Source organism: Homo sapiens, chromosome 17 (assembly GCF_000001405.40).
Source record: "Homo sapiens chromosome 17, GRCh38.p14 Primary Assembly".
Lineage (NCBI taxonomy): Eukaryota > Metazoa > Chordata > Mammalia > Primates > Hominidae > Homo > Homo sapiens.
Window position 1 is genome coordinate 51,354,532 of NC_000017.11, and position 21,357 is coordinate 51,375,888.

Consider the following 21,357-nt stretch of genomic DNA (forward strand, 5'->3'; position numbering starts at 1 on the left):
AGCTCATTAAGTTCTTACTGACTGCTGAAAAGTAAATTAGAAAAAATAAACAGAGCTGAACATTTGTGTAAACCTCAATCTTTTTGATGTTTTTCAATTAGCAGAGCCATTTTTCATGTGAAAAATTAATGGCTGTCATGTGCCACCTGGCTTATAGAATCAAGTGACAATTTGTTTTAATGACCATTTTCTACCTCTGGATTCAGGTGGACATGACCAGTTACAGGCCATTGGCGATGGGAGGAGGCAAAGGGGAGTGGGCCTTTAGGGAGCACTGCCCCCATGCCAGGCACAGTGCCAGGCTTGCAATGCACGTCCTTCCCTGAATTTCCTCCATGGCCCAATGAGGCTGTTGTTATCCTCATTTTATACATGTGGTTCTGAGAGGTGAAGAAATTGCCCAAGGTCACACATAGATGTTCAGGGCAGTCTGATTCTATAATTTGTGTCTATTCCACCAAATCACATTCTGCAGAGGGAGAAAGATTTGGCAGGAAGGAGGGAGGTGCCTGCTGATCTCTGGCAGGCAGCCTGCAACAAGGGTGGGACTGAACCAAGTGGTGGGGGTTGACATGGGCAGAGTCCAGCAACAGGGATCCTGGTGTGGGAGATGCTTAGGGTTCTGTCAGCGCAGAGGTCTCTCTTTGAATAGCAAAGCATTTGTCATCAGACTAGGGCTCAGAGTAGAAGTCCAGTCTCTGGGAGGGAGACTGAGAGTAAGGCAGGAGCCAGGCAGGATGTCTGTTTCAGAAGGGACCCGAGTTAGCAGTTGCTCAGTAAGACCACTGCATAGTTGATGAGGCCAAGAAACTAGAGGCAGACACCACGTCAAAGGCCACCTGTAATGCTGGAGCCACCTCATTAGAGTTGGCACAGTAGCAAGGAAGACTGAGGCAGAGCTGACACATTCTGTCTGGAGCTGCCTTTTGGAGGGAAGTGAGGGGAAGAAACTGCATGTGGAGTCAGAAGCCTCAGCTGTGGGCAGGGCTGGAGCAGCGGAGCAGGCCTGAGAGCCAGGCAGGGGCTGATGACCGTGATGACAGCTTTCACGGATTGTGGGATGGGCCCTTTTATGCATAATCTTTAATCCTGAAATAACTTCAGGGGATAGGCACTACTATCTCTTTTTGTATATGGGGAAGTGGAAGTTCAGAGAGACAGAGGGGTGAGGTCCTTTGCTTACAGGCACACAGTGGCCATCTGGCAAAGCAGAAATGAAAACCCAAAGATCTGTGCATGTTCCTCCCGCTCCCATACTGCCTCCCTGCCATCCCTAATTCAAAACAGATGATTACTTTCTCCATCCACTGCTTCTTCCCTGCCCTGCCTGTAACTGACCAGCGCCAGTCTGCAGAAACAGCAGCAGCCTTGGATTTAATTTTCTGGGCATTATAACCGACACTGCGGAGAACATCTCGGCTCTAGGGACAAATCTGTCTGATGACAGTGCACACGTGAGCTCCTTCCTAGACTGAGGGTGGAGCCGCTGGACCTGACAGTTGCAGCTTATTCTCCCTTTTGGTAATAATGCACGACTAGGCAAGAGAGGAAAAAACCTGCCGAGTAATTCTTTAATTTTAAAGAGTATTTCTCCAAGGCGCAGGAATCAATCAGCCCTTGGGATCCGAGCTTCTGTTCCAGGGGAGGGCGACTTAGGAACAGCTCTGCCTCCCTCAGGCAGGGTAGGGACTCAGTGACCTCAGAAAGATTTCTCGCAGCCGCAGGCTCCTCTTAGGAGTTTTGCTGATTGGTTTGGACTTTACTTTGAACGTGGCAGTAGATAGAAGTGTTAAGATTTTTCATAAGTCTGTCTTTCCATTTTCTTTCCTCTTCTAATTCCTGAGGTTCATAATTATTCTGTTCACCCTTTTGTAGTTGGATAACTGATTTTTGTTGTTGCTGTTGTTGTTGTTGCTATTTCTTTGGGCAGTTTGAATATTCTTCAATGTACATTCCTAGAAGCCTTCCAGAAGCCACGTTCTTCTTCTGGGCAATTCTAGGGAGATGGTGTTTGTTCCAGCCCTGGCCTTGCTGATTGACTGTTTAAAATTTACTCTCCCTGTCTCTGTTCCTCTCTCTTTACAGCATTATTTATCTACCAGTTCATCTACCCACCAATAGTCAATTTATCTATGTAACTATCCATTTGTTCCTCCATGCATGTCATGGTCCTGAATTAGCAAAGATTATGATGCTCGGCTAAGGGACAGCCCTTATAGACTACTCACACTTTCCTATAGCCATAGAAAGCAAAGAGAGTTAAATAAAAAATGAAAAATGCAATTAATCTCAAACCTTGTTGGAATTTATCATTTTTCTAAATGCCCTAAAAGGTTCTCTTCTTTTCTGTGTTGCAGACAGAACAGAAAGAAAATCAGACTTATGTCGATGGGGGTTTTAGACCTTATATCCACAGGTCAGATTTGTAAGGTTGAAGAAAGGAGGTGGGCACCCAAGGGTGAGGACAGCTGCTCACTGATCTCTCCTGATTGCCCACAGGGTAGGTCTTGCACTCTAGATCCCAGGTGAGGGTTTGGGAATCATTGCTTGTCCTTGATCACTTTGTTCTACAGCATCACCCCGAGACATCCATTCACAACTCTGAGATAAGTAACCTTGGAATGGGGAAGTTCTGGTACCTCTTCCAGATGCCTATCTGCTTTCCTTTTATTTTTTCAGAATTAATCCACTTTAATTTTTAAACTTTTTTTTTTTTTTTTTTTTAGGTAGAGTCTCACTCTGTCTCCCAGGTTGGAGTGCAGTGGCGTGATCTCGGCTCACTGCAACCTCTGCCTCCCAGGTTCAAGCCATTCTCCTGCCTCAGCCTCCCGAGTAGCTTAGACTACAGGTGCGCACCACCGTGCCCAGCTAATTTTTGTATTTTTAGTAGAGACAGGGTTTCACTATGTTGGCCAGGCTGGTCTTGAACTCCTGACCTTCAGTGATCCTCCCACCTTAGCCTCCCAAAGAGCTGGGATTACAGGCGTGAGCCACCATGCCTGGCTAATTTGTAAACTTTTAATTGATGAATAATAATCATATATATTTATGGGGTACAATGTGATGTTTCCATACATGTAGGCATTGTAGAATTGATCAAATCAGGCTAATGAACATATCCATCACCTCAATACTTATCTTTTTTTTTGTGATGAGGACTTCTAAAATCTACTCTATGAGTTCAGCTTTTGAAGATTCCATACATGACTGGGCGTGGTGGGTCATGCCTGTAATCCCAGCACTTTGGGAGGCCGAGGCGGGTGGATCACTTGAGGTCAGGAGTTCGAGACCAGCCTGACCAATATGGTGAAACCCCATCTCTACTAAAAATACAAAAATTAGCTGGGTGTGGTGGCAGGTGCCTGTAGTCTCAGCTACCTGGGAGGCTGAGACAGAAGAACTGCTTGAACCCGGGAGTTGGAGGTTGCAATGAGCCGAGATCACGCCACTGCACTCCAGCCTGGGTGACAGAGTGAGACTCCATCTCAAAGAAAAAAAAAAAAGATTCCATATATATGTGAGATCATGTGTAGTATTTGTCTTTCTGAGCCTGGCTTATATCACTGAGCATAGTGTCCTCTAGATTCATCCATGTTGTTGCAAGTGACAGAATTTTCTTCTTTTTCAAGGCTGAATATATTCTGTTGTATATATAGACACCACATTTAAAAAATCAATTTATTCATTGACAGGCACTTAGGTTGTTTCCAGATCTTGGCTATTGTGAATGATGTGGCAATGAACATGGGATGCAGACATCTCCTTGACATACTGATCTCAATTCCTTTGAATAGAAACCCGGAAGTGGGATTGGTGGATCATATGGTAGTTCTGTTTTCAATTTTGTGAGGAACTGCCATATTGTTTTCCACAATGGCTGTGCTCATTTCCATTCCCACCAATGATGTATAGGAATTCCCCTCTCTTCAAATCTTTGGCAGCATTTGTTATCTTTTGATAATAGCCATTCTAACTGGGGTGAAGTGATATCTTATTGTGGCCTTGATTTGCATGTCCCTAATGACTGGCGATGTTGGGCATTTTTTCATCTATCTGTTGGCCATTTATACAGCCTCTCAAGAAATGGCTATTCAGGTCTTTTGCCAATTTTAAAATAGAGTGGGCCAGGTGTGGTGGCTCATGCCTGTTATCCCTGCACTTTGGGAGGCCGAGGTGGCTGGATTGCTTGAGCCCAGGAGTTTGAGACCAGCCTGGGCAAACTGATGAAGTCCTATCTTTATCAAAAACAAAAACAAAAAATTAGCTGAGTATGGTGGCATGCACCTGTCCCTGCTTAAGATTAAGTAGTCCCAGCTACTCAGGAGGCTGAGGTGGGAGGATCGCTTGAGCCCGGGAGGTGGATGTTGCAGTGAGCCAAGATCATGCCACTGCACTCCATCCTGGGCAACAGAGTGAGAGCTTGTCTCAAAAATGAAACAAACAAAAAAAGAATTATTCGTTTTCCTGTTACTGAGTAGTTTGAGTTTCTTATGTATTTTGGGTATTAGCGCCTTATCTGATGCATGATTTGCAAATATTTTCTCCCAATCTGTAGGTTGTCTCTTCACCTGTTGTTTCCTTTGCTGTGCAGAAGCGTTTTAGTTTGATGCAATCCCGTTAGTCTATTTTTGCTTTTGTTGCCAGTGTTTGTGAGGTGAATGATATCCACGGAATACTTTCCCAGACCAATGGGGTAGAGCTTTTCCTGTTTTCTTCTAGTAGTTTTACAGTTCCTTATTCACCTTTCTTCACGGCCATTCACAAAAAAGCCAGGACAAGCTGCTGGTGCTCCAAGGCTATAGTTTCTCTGCTTCTCTTTGTTCTCCTAGGATATTCTGAGTTGAATAACATAGTGTTACTTCATCCTTCTATTTCCATCAACATGTGAGACTAGCTTTTATACAATGGCTATTTTAAAAACTTCTTAGATATTTGAACTCTATTTCAAGCAGTTCTGCTGAATTTAGAGTCCCATATTGACAATTTTTTGATAGTATAATATCAAAAAATGAAGCTTTATCTTGCCATTTTCTGCAGCAAAAAGAAAAAGTATATATCTTTTGTAAATATACTGTCTAAAGTTGTAAACTGTCCTTTCTTGAAAGGGATCATTTTAAGAGTGAGGATCCTGACGTCAGATCCCTTGGGTTCAAATCCTGGCTCCACCACTGATTTTCTGTGTTACCTTAGGCAAATTACTGAACCTTTCCATGCCTCATTTTCCTTATCGGTAAGACATAGAAATGACACTAGTAATTACTACAGATTGGCTAGCAATGCTGTGGATTGGCTTGCTCAATCTCCATTCCACTCTCCTTTTAGGCTGCCTTCCTGTACTATGGAGCCTGGAAAGCAACAATCTCCATTTTCCAGATGCTTTGCAGCTAGGGCTTAGAATAGAATGTAGGGTCTAATTGTAATTAGAACACTTGCCCCGTATTTGGAAGGCCAAGTGAGGCCACGCACAGGCCTTCTTCCTAACCCTTCTGCTGGCAAGCAAGGGAGTGAGAGTAAAAGGTTTTATTGCAGTGTTCTAGTAGTGGTTACAGAGACAGTATTTGGGGGCAGAGAATTCCTCATTCTGGTTTCTGACCTCTGGCTCATAGCACTGGGGCCATGTCATGGACATAGTAGTCTAGTGTCAGCCTTAGAGATAGCATCTCCCCAAATTGACCAGTGCTTATTGTTCTGGAAATCAGTCCTGGCACCTAGGCCAGAGCCTACTCCTCCAGCTCTTCCAGTGATTTTGTAGTGCCTAATTTCTTTTATTAAATCTCTTTCGGCTTAAAATACCCAGAGTTGTCCCAGTTTCTTTCTTTCTCTCTCTCTCTCTTTTTTTTTTAGGTGGAGTCTTGCTCTGTCACCCAGGCTGGAGTGAAATAATGCAATCTCAACTCACTGCAACCTCCACCTCCCAGGTTCAAGTGATTCTCCCGCTTCAGCCTCCTCAGTAGCTGGGATTACAGGTGCATGCCACCATGCCTGACTAATTTTTGTAGTTTTAGTAGTGATGGGGTTTCACTATGTTGGCCAGGCTGGTCTCTAACTCCTGACCTTGTGATCCCCCCACCTTGACCTCCCAAAGTGCTGAGATTACAGGCATGAGCCACCGCCCCTTGTTTCTTGTACTAAACCCCAATTGATACAAGTACCTCCCAAGGTTGTCATGAGTATTCAAGGAGGTCATGAAAGTACTATGCAGCAGTACCTGACACATGGCTAGCACGATCACTGTTTAACAAGCATCTGTTTTTGTCACCATCCATTGCTATTCTCATTATTCCATTCCAAATGTGTCCTTCCTTTCTGGGCCTGGCTTTTGGTGTGAAATGAGGTGGTTTGACCAGAATGCTCCTAAGGCCCCCTCTGGCTGAGTGATTCTAGGATTTTAAGGATGTCTTATTCTGTTCAAGCTGCTATAACAAAATACTGTTACCAGTGGAAGCTATCCCAGTTACCGGCAGTGAATCCATACGGGTCTAGAGCAACCTCAATTCTTGCCTCCTCAGAAGAAAGAATTTGACTGAGGGGCATAAGGCAGAAAAAGAGATGGAGGTGAGTTTCAGAGCAGGAGTGGAAGTTTATTTAAATTGGCTTTAGAACAAGAAAGAAAGAAAAGTATGCTTGGAAGAAACCCAAGTGGGCACCTGAAGGTCAAGTGCGGAGTTTAACTGTGATCCTAGGGCTTTATAGGCTGACCCTTTCCCATGATTCTTCCCTTAGGATGGGCTGCCCATGTGTGCAGTGCCCTTCTTATGCCTGGGAAGTGAGAACATGCAGTGTGCTTAGGAAGCTGTATGCATGCCCATCTGAGGCTCTTCTTCCCTTTTCCAGTGGAGTGCCCCCGGAAAGTCATACTCCACCATTTTGTCTCTTAATGCAGATGCCTAGGAAGTGGCTTCTTCCCAGGCATCTGCATTCAATTAACACTTTATTTTTTATTTTTTGAGACGGAGTTTTGCTCTTTTTGCCCAGGCTGGAGTGCAATGACATGATCTTGGCTCACAGCAACCTCCGCCTCCCGGGTTCAAATCATTCTCCTGCCTCAGCCTCCCGAGTAGCTGAGATTACAGGCATGCACCACCATGCCCAGCTAATTTTGTATTTTTAGTAGAGACAGGGTTTCTCCATGTCAGTCAGGCTGGTCTCAAACTCCCGACCTCAGGTGATCCACCCACTTCGGCCTCCTAAAGTACTGGGATTACAGGCGTGAGCCACCTGCCCTGCTGCAATTAACACTTTAGTGCAACAGGTGTGGCCCTTGAGGAAATGGCCTCTCCCTGGCGCCAGCTGCCAATTTATCACTTTTATTTTATTTTATATTTTTTTGAGACAGGGTCTCCCTTTGTCACCCAGGCTGGAGTGCAGTGGTGCGATCTCGGCTCACCGCAACCTCAGCTTCCCAGGTTCAAGGGATTCTCCTGCCTTAGCCTCCTGAGTAGCCATGATTACAGGCATGCGCTACCATAGCCCCAGCTAAATTTTGTATTTTTAGTAGAGATGGAGTTTTACCATTTTGGTCAGGATGGTCTCAAACTCCCTACCTCAGGTGAACCACCTACCTTGGCCTCCCAAAGTGCTGGGATTATAGACGTGAGCCACGGTGCCCAGCCTTAATTTATCACTTTTAGAGAGGCAATGTCATAACTGCCGAACCATCACCCAGCATTCTTAGTGGGTGTCTAAGTACCGCTCATGCCTGTCCAGCTCCCTGTAACATTACCATAGACGGGTGGCTTAAACAGCAGACATTTATTTCTCACCGCTCTGGAGGCTGGAATTCCAAGATCAAGGTGCCAACATGGTTGAGTTCTGGTGAGGACCCTCCTCCTGGCTTTTGGATGGCCTCCATCTCACAGTAGCCTCCTTCTCACTGTATCCTCACGTGGCAGAGAGAGGGCTCTGGTCTCCTCTTGTTAGGACATGAATCCCATCGTAGGGGCTCCACCCGCATGACCTTATCTAAACCTAATTACCTCCCAAAGGCCCCACCTCCTAATACCATCACATTAGGTGTTAGGGATTTAACGTATGAATTTTGGTGGGGACACCAACATTCGGTCCATGACAAAGGGTCAGGATACAATGTAAGGTGAGGGGAGCCCAGCAGGTTCTCTGTCTGTGCAGCAAAGACACCAGGGCAAAGTCTACAAGTGTGTTTAGGGGAGCACTGTCCAGAGTGGCTGCCTGGCAGGGTTTCTGGGTCTGATTTTTTATGACAAAACGAAACTTTTCTCTTTGTATTGACTTCAATGGAAGGATCCCTGCTGCCACACTCTCGGGTTTCTTTCACATGCTCATAGCTCTATGGCTTGAGAGAACCTCTCACAATCAACCAGCTTGGACTCAATAACCCTGTACAGACAAACGAATGAGGCATCCTCCCAGGAATTCTAGAGTTGGAAAGAGCACCAGGCTGGGAGTCAGAAGTCTCAGGTCCTAGCTCTGTTTTACCTGTGTAACCTTGGACAACCCTTCCTGTCTTTGGGCCTCAGTTCCCTATCTGTAAAATGATTCAGGGTGAGCTCATCGCCCTCTCAGCAGGGGGGATGGGAGATGCTTTCTAAGGCCCCTTTTGCAGGAATGTCTTATAATTCTTCATTCATTCTAAGAGCCATTCTTTGCTTTTCATATTCAAATAGGCTTGTCCTTGCATCTCTTTTCTCTTTTACCCCATCCAGTTGGCATCACTCAAAGTTCCTTTTAAGATTTTATGACTTTTCTGAAATAATTTTCCAAGTCTGAGTAGTTATTTGATCCATCCTTTGAATTTTTTCTTTGGGGTGTGGGTAGAGGAAGCAGTGGGTCACTTAGGGAGAAGCCTTCCTTCTGGGCTGCTGACAGCTGCTGGGGCCACGCGGGGGGGTCACTGCTTCTGTGGACTTGGCACAGGCAGAGTTAGGTTTTGATCCCACTGCTCTGCTCTGAGAGCTGCTGTCTGGCTGCTTATGGTGCAAGGACTGAGTATCTTCGTGTGTCACCCTGCAAAGAATTTTCCCTGCCGCTTTACTCTGGACCCAAAGCTCCTTGAAGGAGTGGTCAGCTGTAGTGCTGTCATGTTGAATGCCGACAAAGGACTGGAAAATCAGAAAATGGGGTACAGGAGATGGGAACCATCTTTGTTGATACCTTGTATTTGTAGGATCTCCCAAATATTAACTCCCTAATCCATGACCCTCACTGGTATTTGCTTCCCAGCATTGCCATAGCAAAGCACCACAAACTGGGTGGCTTCAAACAACAGAAACTGACTGTCAGTTCTGGAGGTTAGATGTCTGAAATCAAGGTGTCGGCAGGGTCACACTCCCTCTGAAACCTGGAGCAGGGAGAGTGCTTCCTTGCTTCTTCTTTGCTTCTGGTGGTGGTGGCAATTCTTGGTGTTCCTTGGCTTGCACCTATGGCATTTCAGTCCCTGCCTCTGTTGTCCCAAAACATTCTCCCCTTGTGTATATGTGTGTTTTTTAATGAGACCAGTTATTTTGGATCAAGGGCCCACCCTATTCCAGGATGACCTTATTTTAACTAATTACATCTGCAATGATCTTATTTCCCAATAAGGTAACATTTTCTGGTACTGGGGTTTAGGAGTCTATCATTTCTTTTTGGGGGACACAATACAAGCCATAACATCACTGTAAGTGAGATGTCGTCATCCTGATTTTTGTAGGTGATAAAACAGACTCAGAGATGTTTGTGACTCCTGAATTTCACATAGATAGCAAGTGGCAGAGTCAGAATTTAGGGTGTAATTCACCTGATTCCAATACCTCTGTGCTTTCGCGATAACAGCTTTTCCATTCACAGCTTCTGGAGCACCTGGGGCAGAAGCACCTGGGGTGGGGAGTGTGTGTTAAACACACCTGAGCCTGGGTATCTGTATTTTAAATGAGCTGCCCAGATGCTTCTGAGGCATGCTAAAACTTGGGAACCCTTGCATTACATCTTGATTCCTGTCTCAGGCTAAGGGAGGTGGGGAGTGGAACAGCTGCTGATTGTTCAGATGGAAAGTGGTGGTGGGTGGGTAGTAAGAGTCTAAACTGGCATCTCTCAAACTTTACTGTGCACATGAATCATCTGGGGATCTTGTTAAAATGCAGATTCCGAGTCTAGGGGACTGAGGAGGGAGCTGTGATTCTGCATTTCTAACAAGTTCCCAGGCGATGTTGAGGCGGAGGCTGTGTGGACCACACTTAGAGTGCAGGTGTCCTCGATAGGACATGATGGGTGACAAATCGAGGATGGATCCTCAATTCTACCTGCACATGAAGACCACCTGGTGGCTTTTTGACACTTGAATCTCCAAGTCCCATCCCTAGAGACGATTGGTATTTTTAAAAATCTCCTCGAGTAATTCCACTGTATGGCCAAGATTAGGAACAACTATTTTTAAGCAAGGTGAGGGATGTCGGGATGCATATGCAGACAGGGTGTCAGCTTTTTTGTAGTCCTGCACTTCTTCCTTTGGAAAGTCTCCGTCCTGCCCCACTGACTTGTTGCTGCTTATCTGGAGGCTGAATTCAGAGCCAAAGAATGAGGTCTGGTTCACTTGGCTGGAGGGGATGGGGCAAGGGCTGTTCCTGTGCCCCACTGTCGTTTATGCCAGAGCCCTGAGTGCTGAGTTTTCCCAGGGGCTCTGAAAATCAGAGTGGGTTGTTGTTTTCTAACTGGGGTTCAGGCCTCCAATTTCCTCCTTTAAAGCGCCGCCTGCCTCGCCCAACAACTTCCTGACTCAAGTCTGCCAGCTCACTTCCTCTACTTATCTACTCCAGCCTTGGGATGGCTTCTCTGATGAGTCCTGCCGCACCCATTGTCAAGTTCATGACTACGCCAAAGGTCATGGTGAGGTCCAGAGGGAGCGGGTGGATGAGCAGAAAGAACACTTGGGGGGTCGTAGGCAGGTGAATTATTTTATTCAGCAGCAGCTCTTACCAACAGCTTTCTCACACTGTCCACCCTGTCTCAGCTGCTTGGTCCGGCGGCCCCCGCACACAGCTGCATGGCCTGCTCTCTCTTGCCTTCAGGGTCAGCAAATTAACCCTTTCTCTCTCTGGGCACCAGCATGAGCTGTGCCGCGGCTCCCCTCTGTCCATCTTGCAGATGGACAGCTTTGGCTCTTTCTCTCTTTCTCTGGGTGCCAGTGCACCTGTGCAGTGTCAACAGGGCAATTATACCTTTTATAGACAATAGTGGTGTAGAGCCAAGCGATGGCCTTCCCATCTAGTGATGGCTACATGGCTATGATAACAAGTGGAGTTTTACACCTGTGCTCTGAACTCGCTGAGACACACAGGGATGTAAACATCTTACCTCGGCCTATCCTTGACCAAAGCACAGCCATGTTCCTTACACCCATGCAGTTCCCATTGGGTAGAAACAGCTCCAATGTGCAGTATGTGGACTGTGCTTATTTAACCCTCCTCCCCAACAGCCCCTCTCCCCACCCCCACATGTTTTACTGGATTTGGCCCCAAAGTTTCTGATTTTAACCATCGTACTGATACAGAGGGCTGGGCTCCCAGCTAAACCCCATTCTTAAGCCTGGAACTGCCCCTTAAGTGAAAACAGCTGACCCCATTTTTCCGTCCAACTGTTGCCTTTTTGGCCTGCCTCACCCATATCCTGTGCCCATAAAAACTTTAGCTGGCAGAACAACACAGGCGGCTGAGCATCGAGGATACAAGTGGCTGAGGAGTGAGCAGAGAAGCAACTGAGCATCAGAGACTATGGATAGGTGTGGCTGACTTCAGACAGTGTGGCTTCAGAGAGGGGCCCGGCCGGAGATGGCTGAACTTCAGGGAAAGATCACCTTCCCATCCCCTTTCCAGCCTTCCTTTCCACTGAGAGCCACCCACTACTCAATAAAGTCTTCCGCACTCATCACCTTTCAAACAGTCCATGTGACCTGATTCTTCTTGGACGCTGGACAAGAACCTGGGTGCTGAGAGGGCAGAGGCTGCCACCCTGACCCCTGAGCTGGTTGGCACTTGGCTGATCCTGATGGCAGAGCTGAAAGAGCGCTGGTTGTAACACGCTTGGACGCTGCTGTGGGGCCCACACAGAGCCTGCTCCCACCAGAGAGGAGTGACCAGCCAGTTCCAGTTCCAGTGTTCGTTCGCTCAGGTTCCTGCATTCGCTCACTCACACTCTCCCTCCTGCGAGGAGTGGCCAGTGGTGGGCTGAGTGAAACGAGACACTCCAGTTCCTGCCCGCAAAGGGGGTCAAGTGAACTATCCCCTCTCAGCATTTTACCAAAACTGTTTATGAGACCCTGTGGTGGTAGTAGTTTAGAGCAGCAGTGGTTGTGGGGGACATTTTACACCTGTGTTTTAGTTTTCTTACCTGTAAAATGGAGCTAATGGTAGCATCTGTCTCATAGCACTGTGAGTGTGTGGGATGAATTGAATGGGATGATTTTTGCAAAGCATTTTCGGGCAGTGCCTGCACGTGAAATGTGTCTTCAAGGCACCGGCCAGCCACAACCTGGGTGAGATGGAGCTTCAGGGCCATCTGCTGCCCAGAACTCAGGACACTGCTTTTCTACATCTGTCCCTAGAAAGGGACAAAATAGACAGGTTGGTAAAGGGGCCTTTGGGTCAACTCATTCCTCACCAAGATCTATCTTTTTCTTTCCATTCTTCTTCCTTCTCTGAGTTTAATTTTTTTAAAGCCAAACTTCTGGAGTAAATTAAATTGTTTAATGAGATAATATGATGTAGTGGTTAGAAGCATGGACTCTGGAATCCACTGACTGGCTGTGCCATTTAGAAGGTGTGCCATCTTGGGCAAATACTTAACCTCTCTGTCTCAGCTTCCTTATCTATAAAACAGGGATCACAATAGTACCTGTCTCCTAGTGGTGTTGAGATAGTGCAGATACAGTGCATAGGGCAGAGCCTGGTGCTTAGAAAGCACTCAGTTTCTATCACCTATTACTGACTGCAAGCCTGGCAGCATCCCTATATTATAGGATTTCACATCTCCTTTAATCCCACAACTGGAAGAGGTATCACCTCTGCTTCACAGTTGAGGAAATGGGGGCTCAGAGGCTTGGAAAATGGGTTAAGATTATATAACTAGTAAGTAGTGGAGCTGAGATTTGAACCTTAGAATTTTAACTAAGAAGCCTGAGGTCTTTCTTTCTTTCCTTTTTTTTTTTTTTTTTTTTTCAAATTATACTTTAAATTCTGGGATACATGTGCAGAATGTGCAGGTTTGTTGCATAGGTATACATGTGCCATGGTGTTTTGCTGCACCCATCAACCCGTCATCTACATTAGGTATTTCTCCTAATGCTATCCCTCCCCTCGCCCCCAACCCCCTGACAAGCCCCAGTGTGTGATGTTCCCCTCCCTGTGTCCATGTGTTCTTATTGTTCAACTCCCACTTATGAGTGAGAACATGCAGTGTTTGGTTTTCTGTTCTTGTGTTAGTTTGCTCAGAATGATGGTTTCCAGCTTCATCCATGTCCCTGCAAAGGAAATGAACTCATCCTTTTTTATGGCTGCATAGTATTCCATGGTGTATATGTGCCACATTTTCTTTATCCAGTCTATCATTGATGGACATTTGGGTTGGTTCCAAGTCTTTGCTATTGTGAATAGTGCTGCAATAAACATATGTGTGCATGAGTCTTTAAAGTAGAATGATTTATGATCTTTTGGGTATATACCCAGTAATGGGATTGCTGGGTCAAATGGTATTTCTGGTTCTAGATCCTTGAGGAATTGCCACACTGTCTTCCACAATGGTTGAACTAATTTACACTCCCACCAACAGTGTAAAAGCATTCCTATTACTCTATGTCCTCTCCAGCATCTGTTCTTTACTGACTTTTTAATGATTGCCATTCTAACTGGCGTGAGATAGTATCTTGTTGTGGTTTTGATTTGCATTTCTCTAATGACCAGTGATGATGAGCTTTTTTTCATATGTTTGTTGGCCGCATAAATGTCTTCTTTTGAGAAGTGTCTGTTCATATCCTTCGCCCACTTTTCGACGGGGTTGTTTTTTACTTGTAAATTTGTTTAAGTTCTTTGTAGATTCTGGATATTAGCCCTTTGTCAGATGGATAGATTGCAAAAATTTTCTCCCATTCTGCAGGTTGCCTGTTCACTCTGATGATAGTTTCTTTTGCTGTGCAGAAGCTCTTTAGTTTAATTAGATCTCATGTGTCAATTTTTAAAAGCCTGAGGTCTTTCTTTTCCAGGGACTCTTAATCTGGGGTCCCTTAACACCTAGTAGATTATTTGTGAGTTTCATTGAGTTTGGGAATCCTTTGAAATTGTTTCAAGAACAGGCGTTTATGTTTTTGGGAAGTCAGGGTCAAGATCACAGTCCATTGTTTTCTTTAGATCCACAGAGTAAGCCACTGCATTATTCCAACTTTCTTATAAGATAGAACAATTATTTAATGAACTCCAAATGTATGAAACTTCCATTGTTGAGATTATGTAAATAATTGGGCTGTAATGCAGCTGGATTCCTAGAATTAATAATTTCCATGTTCATACTCTGTGCTTACCACTCTAGTGCCCCTAATGTCATTTCAGCCCCTGTGTTTCTGGGCAGTCTCAATCAGAAGGATAGCATGCTTCAGAAAGCTTGCAATCACTCTGCAGAGGTAGACTCAGAGTCCTGGGTTTCACTGCTAGCAATGCTTCTAACTCTCGGAGCTTTATCTTCTTTGCGTGTAAAATGTGAGGATTGCCCAGCTGCACTCTGAGTCTCTCTGATGTCTTTCTGATGTGAAATCAAGGTGGAGATCAGGAGTTGCCTTCCTTAAACAAGGGCAGGCATGTTTTGGGTAGACAGAAAAGTGGAAACATAACCAGTCAGTCATTCATCTGCTGCATCTGGGGATGGACCTAAGCTGAGCAGGAGCCTCCCCTATCAGTCCTCTTCTCCTTTCTCCATGCTACGGCCACTACTGAGGACTGTAGAGTCAGAGTTGGAGGAGGCCAAGGAGGCATCTCTTAATTTACCCTGTCATGCTACTGAGCAAACCGAGGCCCAGAGATGGGGAATGCCTTACATAAGGTCACATGGCTAGTGCCTGGATTGGGACTTGAGCCCAAGTTTCCAGAATCCAAATCTGATGTCTACTTACAAAGCCAGCTAGTACACGAAGAGATCTAGAGGCCTTCTCAGGACTACTCAAATGTGACAAATATGTGGTCTGGCAGAATCCTGGGACACATTTCTGGGAATGCTGTTCTCTCTTTCCCAGTGCCTCGTCATGGACATGCCTTTCTGTGGGACGTTCTTACCTGTCCAGGCCTCCATTCACTGCAGGAGGGGAGGGGAGGACAAAAGGAGAATAGCAGCCCCAGGGTGTGTGCCTCTGTCCTGGGCAAGAGGGAGTGTCCATGCCCTTGCTACTTGGCATTCTCCCAAAGGCTGGCTGTTTCTGTGAGCACATTCCCAGCCTGCCAGCCTCTTTTTTTCCCTACAGGTGTATGGGATTCCTAAGGGGAATTGGACATAGCCTTTTATGCCCCATTCTTATGTGGCAGGAACTTTCCTTCCGTCCCTGTGACTCTTCTCAGGGCTCCTTTGACTGCTTTGGGAAACTCTGGGTTTACTCTTCAAATCCTGGATGGGGAAGCCAGAGGGCTGGAAAGCAGGCTGGCCCTGGTGATGGCCAGCTCTGCATCACTTGGCCATCTCACCCACAGTTTGGAGTGGAAAGAGGTCCAGTCACCTGACTGTGGGTTCTGGGGAGTCAGAGCCAGGGCAGGTCCGTGTTCTGCTAGGGGCTGGGAGAAGGCCTGCATCATACACAGTTAGTGGGCAGTACATGAAGGCAGTGAGGAGGTGTGGTATGCCCGCTGCCTTTCACAACTGCAGAAATGGTCACTGATTTCTTTCATCCTCCTCAGTGGCCTTGAAGCCCCTGGACAGAGCAATGCATCGGTGCTGGCTCTCAGAGATTTGTGCCAGCAGCAGGATGGGTTTTCTCTCCTGATTCCGTTTCTCCCTGGTTGGTTATTAGCACACCTTTTTCCTCCTGATTGAGAACAGCTCAAGTGGGAACTGCTACAGCTAGGGGCAGCATCTCTGGTGGCATGCTGGTGGCAGGGGGAAACCAGATGGGGAGGAAGAGCCAGTCAGGAGACATGTGGCTAATCACCTGTGGACCCAGGAGGATTCAGCTACTCAGTTCCTAGCCTCTCCAATTATGGATTCCCTATCCTGTTCTTTTCACAGTTCATACTTTTTTCTTTAAAGTAAAAAGTAACATGCATCACCATCTGTGAAAAGAAGGGGAAAAATAAAACTGAAAAAAGAAGGTAACATGCGACATTAAACATCCTTCTCCTAAAAGTATATCTCGCTATCTGCCCGTTCATCCATCCATCATTAACAGTGGCTGACATGTGAATGTTTACCAAGTGCCAGGCACTGTGCTCTGAGGTTTGCAGAGGAAGTCCCTATAGCCATTCTGTAAGAGATGCCACTGTTGTCCCTGTTTTTAAGGTGAGAACATAAGATACATGGAGGTTAAGGAATTTGCCTAAGGTCACAAATTAGGAAGTGGCAAAGCCAACCAGGAACCCCGGCAGCCGGGCACCAGAGCCCAAGCTCTGAACCGCTACTGGGCCATCTGCTTCTCTGCTTGTCAGTGGCATGGAGAGATGGCTGCAGGGACTTGCCCCGTATACTAATGCTGGTAGTTCAGAGTGGCTGCATTTGGGGTGACTTTTGACTTTAGTCTTTAAATTCTTCAGTCATGTTTCAATTTTTTTTTTTTTTTTTTTTGAGACAGAGTCTGGCTCTGTCGCCCAGGCTGGAGTGCAGTGGCTCAATCTCAGCTCACTGCAACCTCCGCCTCCTGGGTTCAAGCGATTCTCCTGCCTCAGCCTCCTGAGTAGCTGGGACTACATGTGCGCGCCACAACGCCTGGCTAATTTTTTGTATTTTAGTAGAGACGGGGTTTCACCATTTTGGCCAGGATGGTCTCGATCTCCTGACCTTGTGATCCGCCCACCTTGGCCTCCCAAAGTGCTGGGATTACAGGCATGAGCCACTGCACCCGGCCTAAATTTGTAAATGATGGGCATGTATCATTTTTATAATAGCTAAATAAAAAAACCAGTTGCAGAGAATCCCCAAAGCATATGATTTGGGGAATGGTAAACAGAGAGCAGGACGCTTTTTTTTTTTGGTGGTGGGTGGTGGGGGCAGACAAAGGAACTCTGATTTTGACCATCATCTCGTGGTGCTCTTGGGAGGCTCATCATTGGTTGGGTCCTCCCCCATTGCCTTGTTGTCTCTCTGCCACAAGATGGCAATCACAGCACAAGGATGGATGGGCTTGCAGCCTCCAGGAAGGAACACTAAGCGTCTGTCTTCCAGCTACAGAGAAGTCTCCCTAATGCATAGTTGGGGGAAGGGGCTTTTAGAGAGGGATTGAAAAGCTGACATCCCCTGCTGACCCAAACTCCAGGCAGTCCGGCAGTCATAGTCAGACGCTTCCATTTGCAGTAACCCATAGCTCTTCCCAGAACAGAGCTACATTGTGCATTTTGCTTTCTGATGAAAGAGACATAGAGACAAAATGACACAGAGGTTTCCGGGCATAGAATGAGGCCAGTGAGCCTGGAGAATGGGTTATTTGTAATCTGTGGGGTTATTTATTCTGTGATGTGTATAGATTCTTTTTGTTCCTTGAGTAGAAATTGGTGCTGGTCTTCTAGATGCAGAGGCTACAAAACAAATCCCAGGGTAGGCAGCCAGTGGCTTTCTCTGGGGTCTTCCCAGGTGGATATCTGGGTAGGGCAGCTTCCACTGAGGCTCAGCTTTTGGGATGATTCCTAGGAGGAAGACTATCAGGAGAAAGACTGGGGGCTTGGTTCCTGTGGATAGGTGCATACACGAATGGAGAGGAAACTTTGAGTGGGGACCATGGCATTTCTACCACCTGAGATGCCCAGCTGGGCATACCTGGATTGGACTCAGGCAGGGGAAGTGAAGGCAGGACTCCTGTATTAGTTAACACTAGTGGCTATAACAGATAAAACTTAAAATCTCAGTGGCTTACCACAATAGAAGTTCATTTCCTGCTTGTGTAATGTTCAAAATGGCTGATCCCTGATCAGCTAGTGGGTAATTCTTCCTCAAATGGTGATAGAAGCACCCAACCTCCTTCCAACTTGGGACTCTTCCATTTTCAACACGTGGCTTCTACAGATTCTTACAAGAAGTAGAAAGAACATGGAGGAGCACACACGGGAGGCATTCCAGCCAGGCCCAGTGGGGATGGAAACATCACTTCCGCCTTCATTCCATTGGCCAGAAATGAGTCATGTGGCCATCCCTAACTACAAAAGAGGCTGGGAAATGTAGTCTAGCCTGTGCCCGGGAGAATGAGGAAGTAGGTTTTGTGTATAACCAGCCAATTTCTGTCCCAGACTCATTCTTTATATGGATGATAGAGTTTATCCCAAATAAATAATCAGGTTTGCACACACAGATATTCATGCACAAAGATGTTCATTGCTCTGTTATTATAAAAGTAAATGTTTAGAATCAATGTAAATGTTTATCTATAACGTGTTAAAGAACTTATAGTCTATTCACACAAAAGTGTCACACAGAAGTGTTGGAGGCAGACCCCAAAATCATGTGGTAGAAGAACATGTTGGCCCTTCAGACATCACAGTGCTTTGTTAAGTAGCAATCCCAGGAAGCCTCGGGGTTCACGTGAGGCACAAATAAATTCAAATAGGCAATACCTATTTTCATTTAAATGTTCTACGACTTAGAGTCATACACAAAATATTTACTTTAAATATAACCCTTTAAAATATTCTCTCTGTATTTCTAAGAACATATTTCCTCGAAAGCAAAATGTACAATTGAATTATATTGCAGACTTTGTAGGAGACTATTTAATTCACTTTTTATCTCCCTGGTTCAGTCTCTGACTCCCACCTTGAACCACAGCATCACAGGGCAGAGACTGTGTCAGGCTTGTTTACTGCTCCGCACACAGTGAGGCGCCTATAGCAGACATTTGGTAAATATTTATTGACTAAAGTTGAGTTGAATGGGATGATGTCAAATGAAAAAACAGCTGGAGTAAAAACAAGGGAAAACCATGAATGTATGGTATGATGCCAGCTATGTAAATAGAAGTTCATATATGCATATGAAAAGACTGCAAGAGAGCATTTCAGCACAATAGGATTGCCTCTTGTTCTCTCTTTCACTTAGGGTTTCCTTTATTTTCCATTTCTTTTACAGTGAACCATTTGCATAATCATTTACAGCTATCATTTACATAGTCAAGATTAAAATTTAAAAATGTTGCTGTAGGGACCACAAATGTACTTCGGGGAAGGTGTCACAGGGTGAGGGATACAATACTTCCTGGAGGTGATGGACAGGTAGGTGTAGGAGCTACTTACATCATGTATGCTTAGACCCTTGGTCTGGGAACTGGGCCAGAGCCCAGGCTGGATGCAGGGAGCTGGGAGCACTTCTTTGTCGCATCTTCATCCTGACCCCCCTTGACTCTCCCTTTCAAATGTGAGCCTGTCCTTCATCTGTGCTGATGGTAGTGTAGGTTTCACCTTGGGGGAGAGGTGTGGGTAGGCTGTCATCACAGCTTGGGTAGGTGGTTTTGTATCCCTTCTGGAAGGCTCCCCACCCTCCTAGGTTTGCCAGTAAAATACAGGACAAAGGTTGAATTTGAATTTCAGATAAACAATGAACAATATTTTAGTATAAATATGTCCTAAATATTGCACTCTTTGTATAACATCACCAAACTAAAGAGCCTTGTTTTGGTGAAATGCCTGCTTTGTAAACAATGGAGAAATTGCACAAGCCTTGTCGGTGGGTACCCGATGCCCAGTAACGTCAGCTTCTTGACTTCCTCTGCACACTTCCCTTCCCTCTTCTCAGTCTCTACCTTCTTCCCACAGGACTGCCAGCAGCAGCATCTGAACCGAAGGCTGCATTGCCTGTCTCAGGGTATGTGACTTTGGGATGTTTTTCCTGGAGAAGCCCACCTGGGGTGAATCAGGCCCTGAAAACTCCTATGGGTAGCTTTTGAGGGTTCATCCCTTCCTGGACAGCTCCTTTTTTCTGGCCAATTGTGCCCCTTATTGGGTTGCCATCTCCTAGGCCTCTCTTTCCCCAGGTCCTCCTCAATAAGGTTGCAAGTTTCCCAGCTTCTCCTGGAGTCTCTTTTCTCTGAAAGCAGCATCCTGCCTTATTGAAGTTTTCTCAAGACAGCCCACATTTTTAGGGGAATAGACCTGGATAAAAATGACAAACATTTCCATTGTAATACATTTCTGAGACATTTAAAAACATTCACGAAAGCCATCCTGTGGTGTGCTGGCATTGAATGGGGAGTAGGGGGGAAAGAGGGTTTGGGAGGGGGTGTACGGTAAGGAAAAGACACCTTGCAGTAGGAGAAGCCAGGAGTGGAATTGCAGGCTGAGCTCGGAGTCCTGGAAGACTTCACGCTTGCTGGGAAGCAGAGGAAGTGCTAGAGTCCACGAAGGGGAAACAGAAGCAGAGAACAAGATCATCTTGCCAGCAAATGAGGCACATAGGGGTTCCGAGCAGAATATGCAGGGTCTGGCTTTGTTTCAGCAGATGAAGCCTTTGATAGGCGGCTGTGATCCCTCCTGCTGGAGCTGCCGGGGACTGGGCATGATTGAGAGCACGGCCCACTCTTCCTCGGGCCCTTACTTCTCATACTCATCAACTGAAAGCCAAATCAGTCCTTTGTGTTGCTTGTTGGTTTTGAAAAGTAAACTTTCGGAGGAGGGTTGTGAATACATCATCCATGAATATGGAATTTTCCATTTTTCAAAACATTAGTTTGAACCAAACAACATTTCCAAGGCCTAGCTGCTTTGGTCTTAGAAAAACAGCAATTTTAGGTCAGGCATGGTGGCTCACACCTGTAATCCCAGCACTTTGGGTGGCCGAGGTGGGAGGATCACTTGAGGTCAGGAGTTCAAGACCAGCCTGGCCAACATGGCGAAACCGCATTTCTACTAAAAATCCAAAAATTAGCCAAGCATGGTTGTGAGTTCCTGTAATCCCAGTTACTCAGGAGGCTGAGGCACGAGAATCACTTGAAGCCTAGGGGACAGAAGTTGCAGTGAGCCTAGACTGTGCCACTGTACTTCAGCCTGGGCGATAGAGTGAGACTCCATCTCAAAAAAAAAAAAAAAACAAAAAACAACCAGAAACAAAGCAAAACAGCAATTTTATATACCACAATCATAAAACTACACACACACACACACACAGACACACACATGCACATAAACACATATCATCGTGTAAGATAAACTCTTGCTGCCAGAGCTTGGTAACCGGGCTCTGAATGGC

The 21,357-nt window shown here is 45.9% G+C and overlaps 2 annotated features.

Moving 5' to 3' along the window:
- Positions 11,568 to 12,068: an enhancer, noted in NCBI's record as "H3K4me1 hESC enhancer chr17:49443460-49443960 (GRCh37/hg19 assembly coordinates)". NCBI's record gives its function as "activates a minimal SCP1, AML or CMV promoter by ChIP-STARR-seq in primed H9 embryonic stem cells {active_cell/tissue: H9 hESC(primed)}" and the evidence as "EXISTENCE:reporter gene assay evidence [ECO:0000049][PMID:30033119]".
- Positions 19,337 to 19,631: a silencer, noted in NCBI's record as "tiled region #484; HepG2 Repressive non-DNase unmatched - State 22:ReprW". NCBI's record gives its function as "represses a minimal TATA promoter and a strong SV40 promoter by Sharpr-MPRA in HepG2 cells {active_cell/tissue: HepG2}" and the evidence as "EXISTENCE:reporter gene assay evidence [ECO:0000049][PMID:27701403]".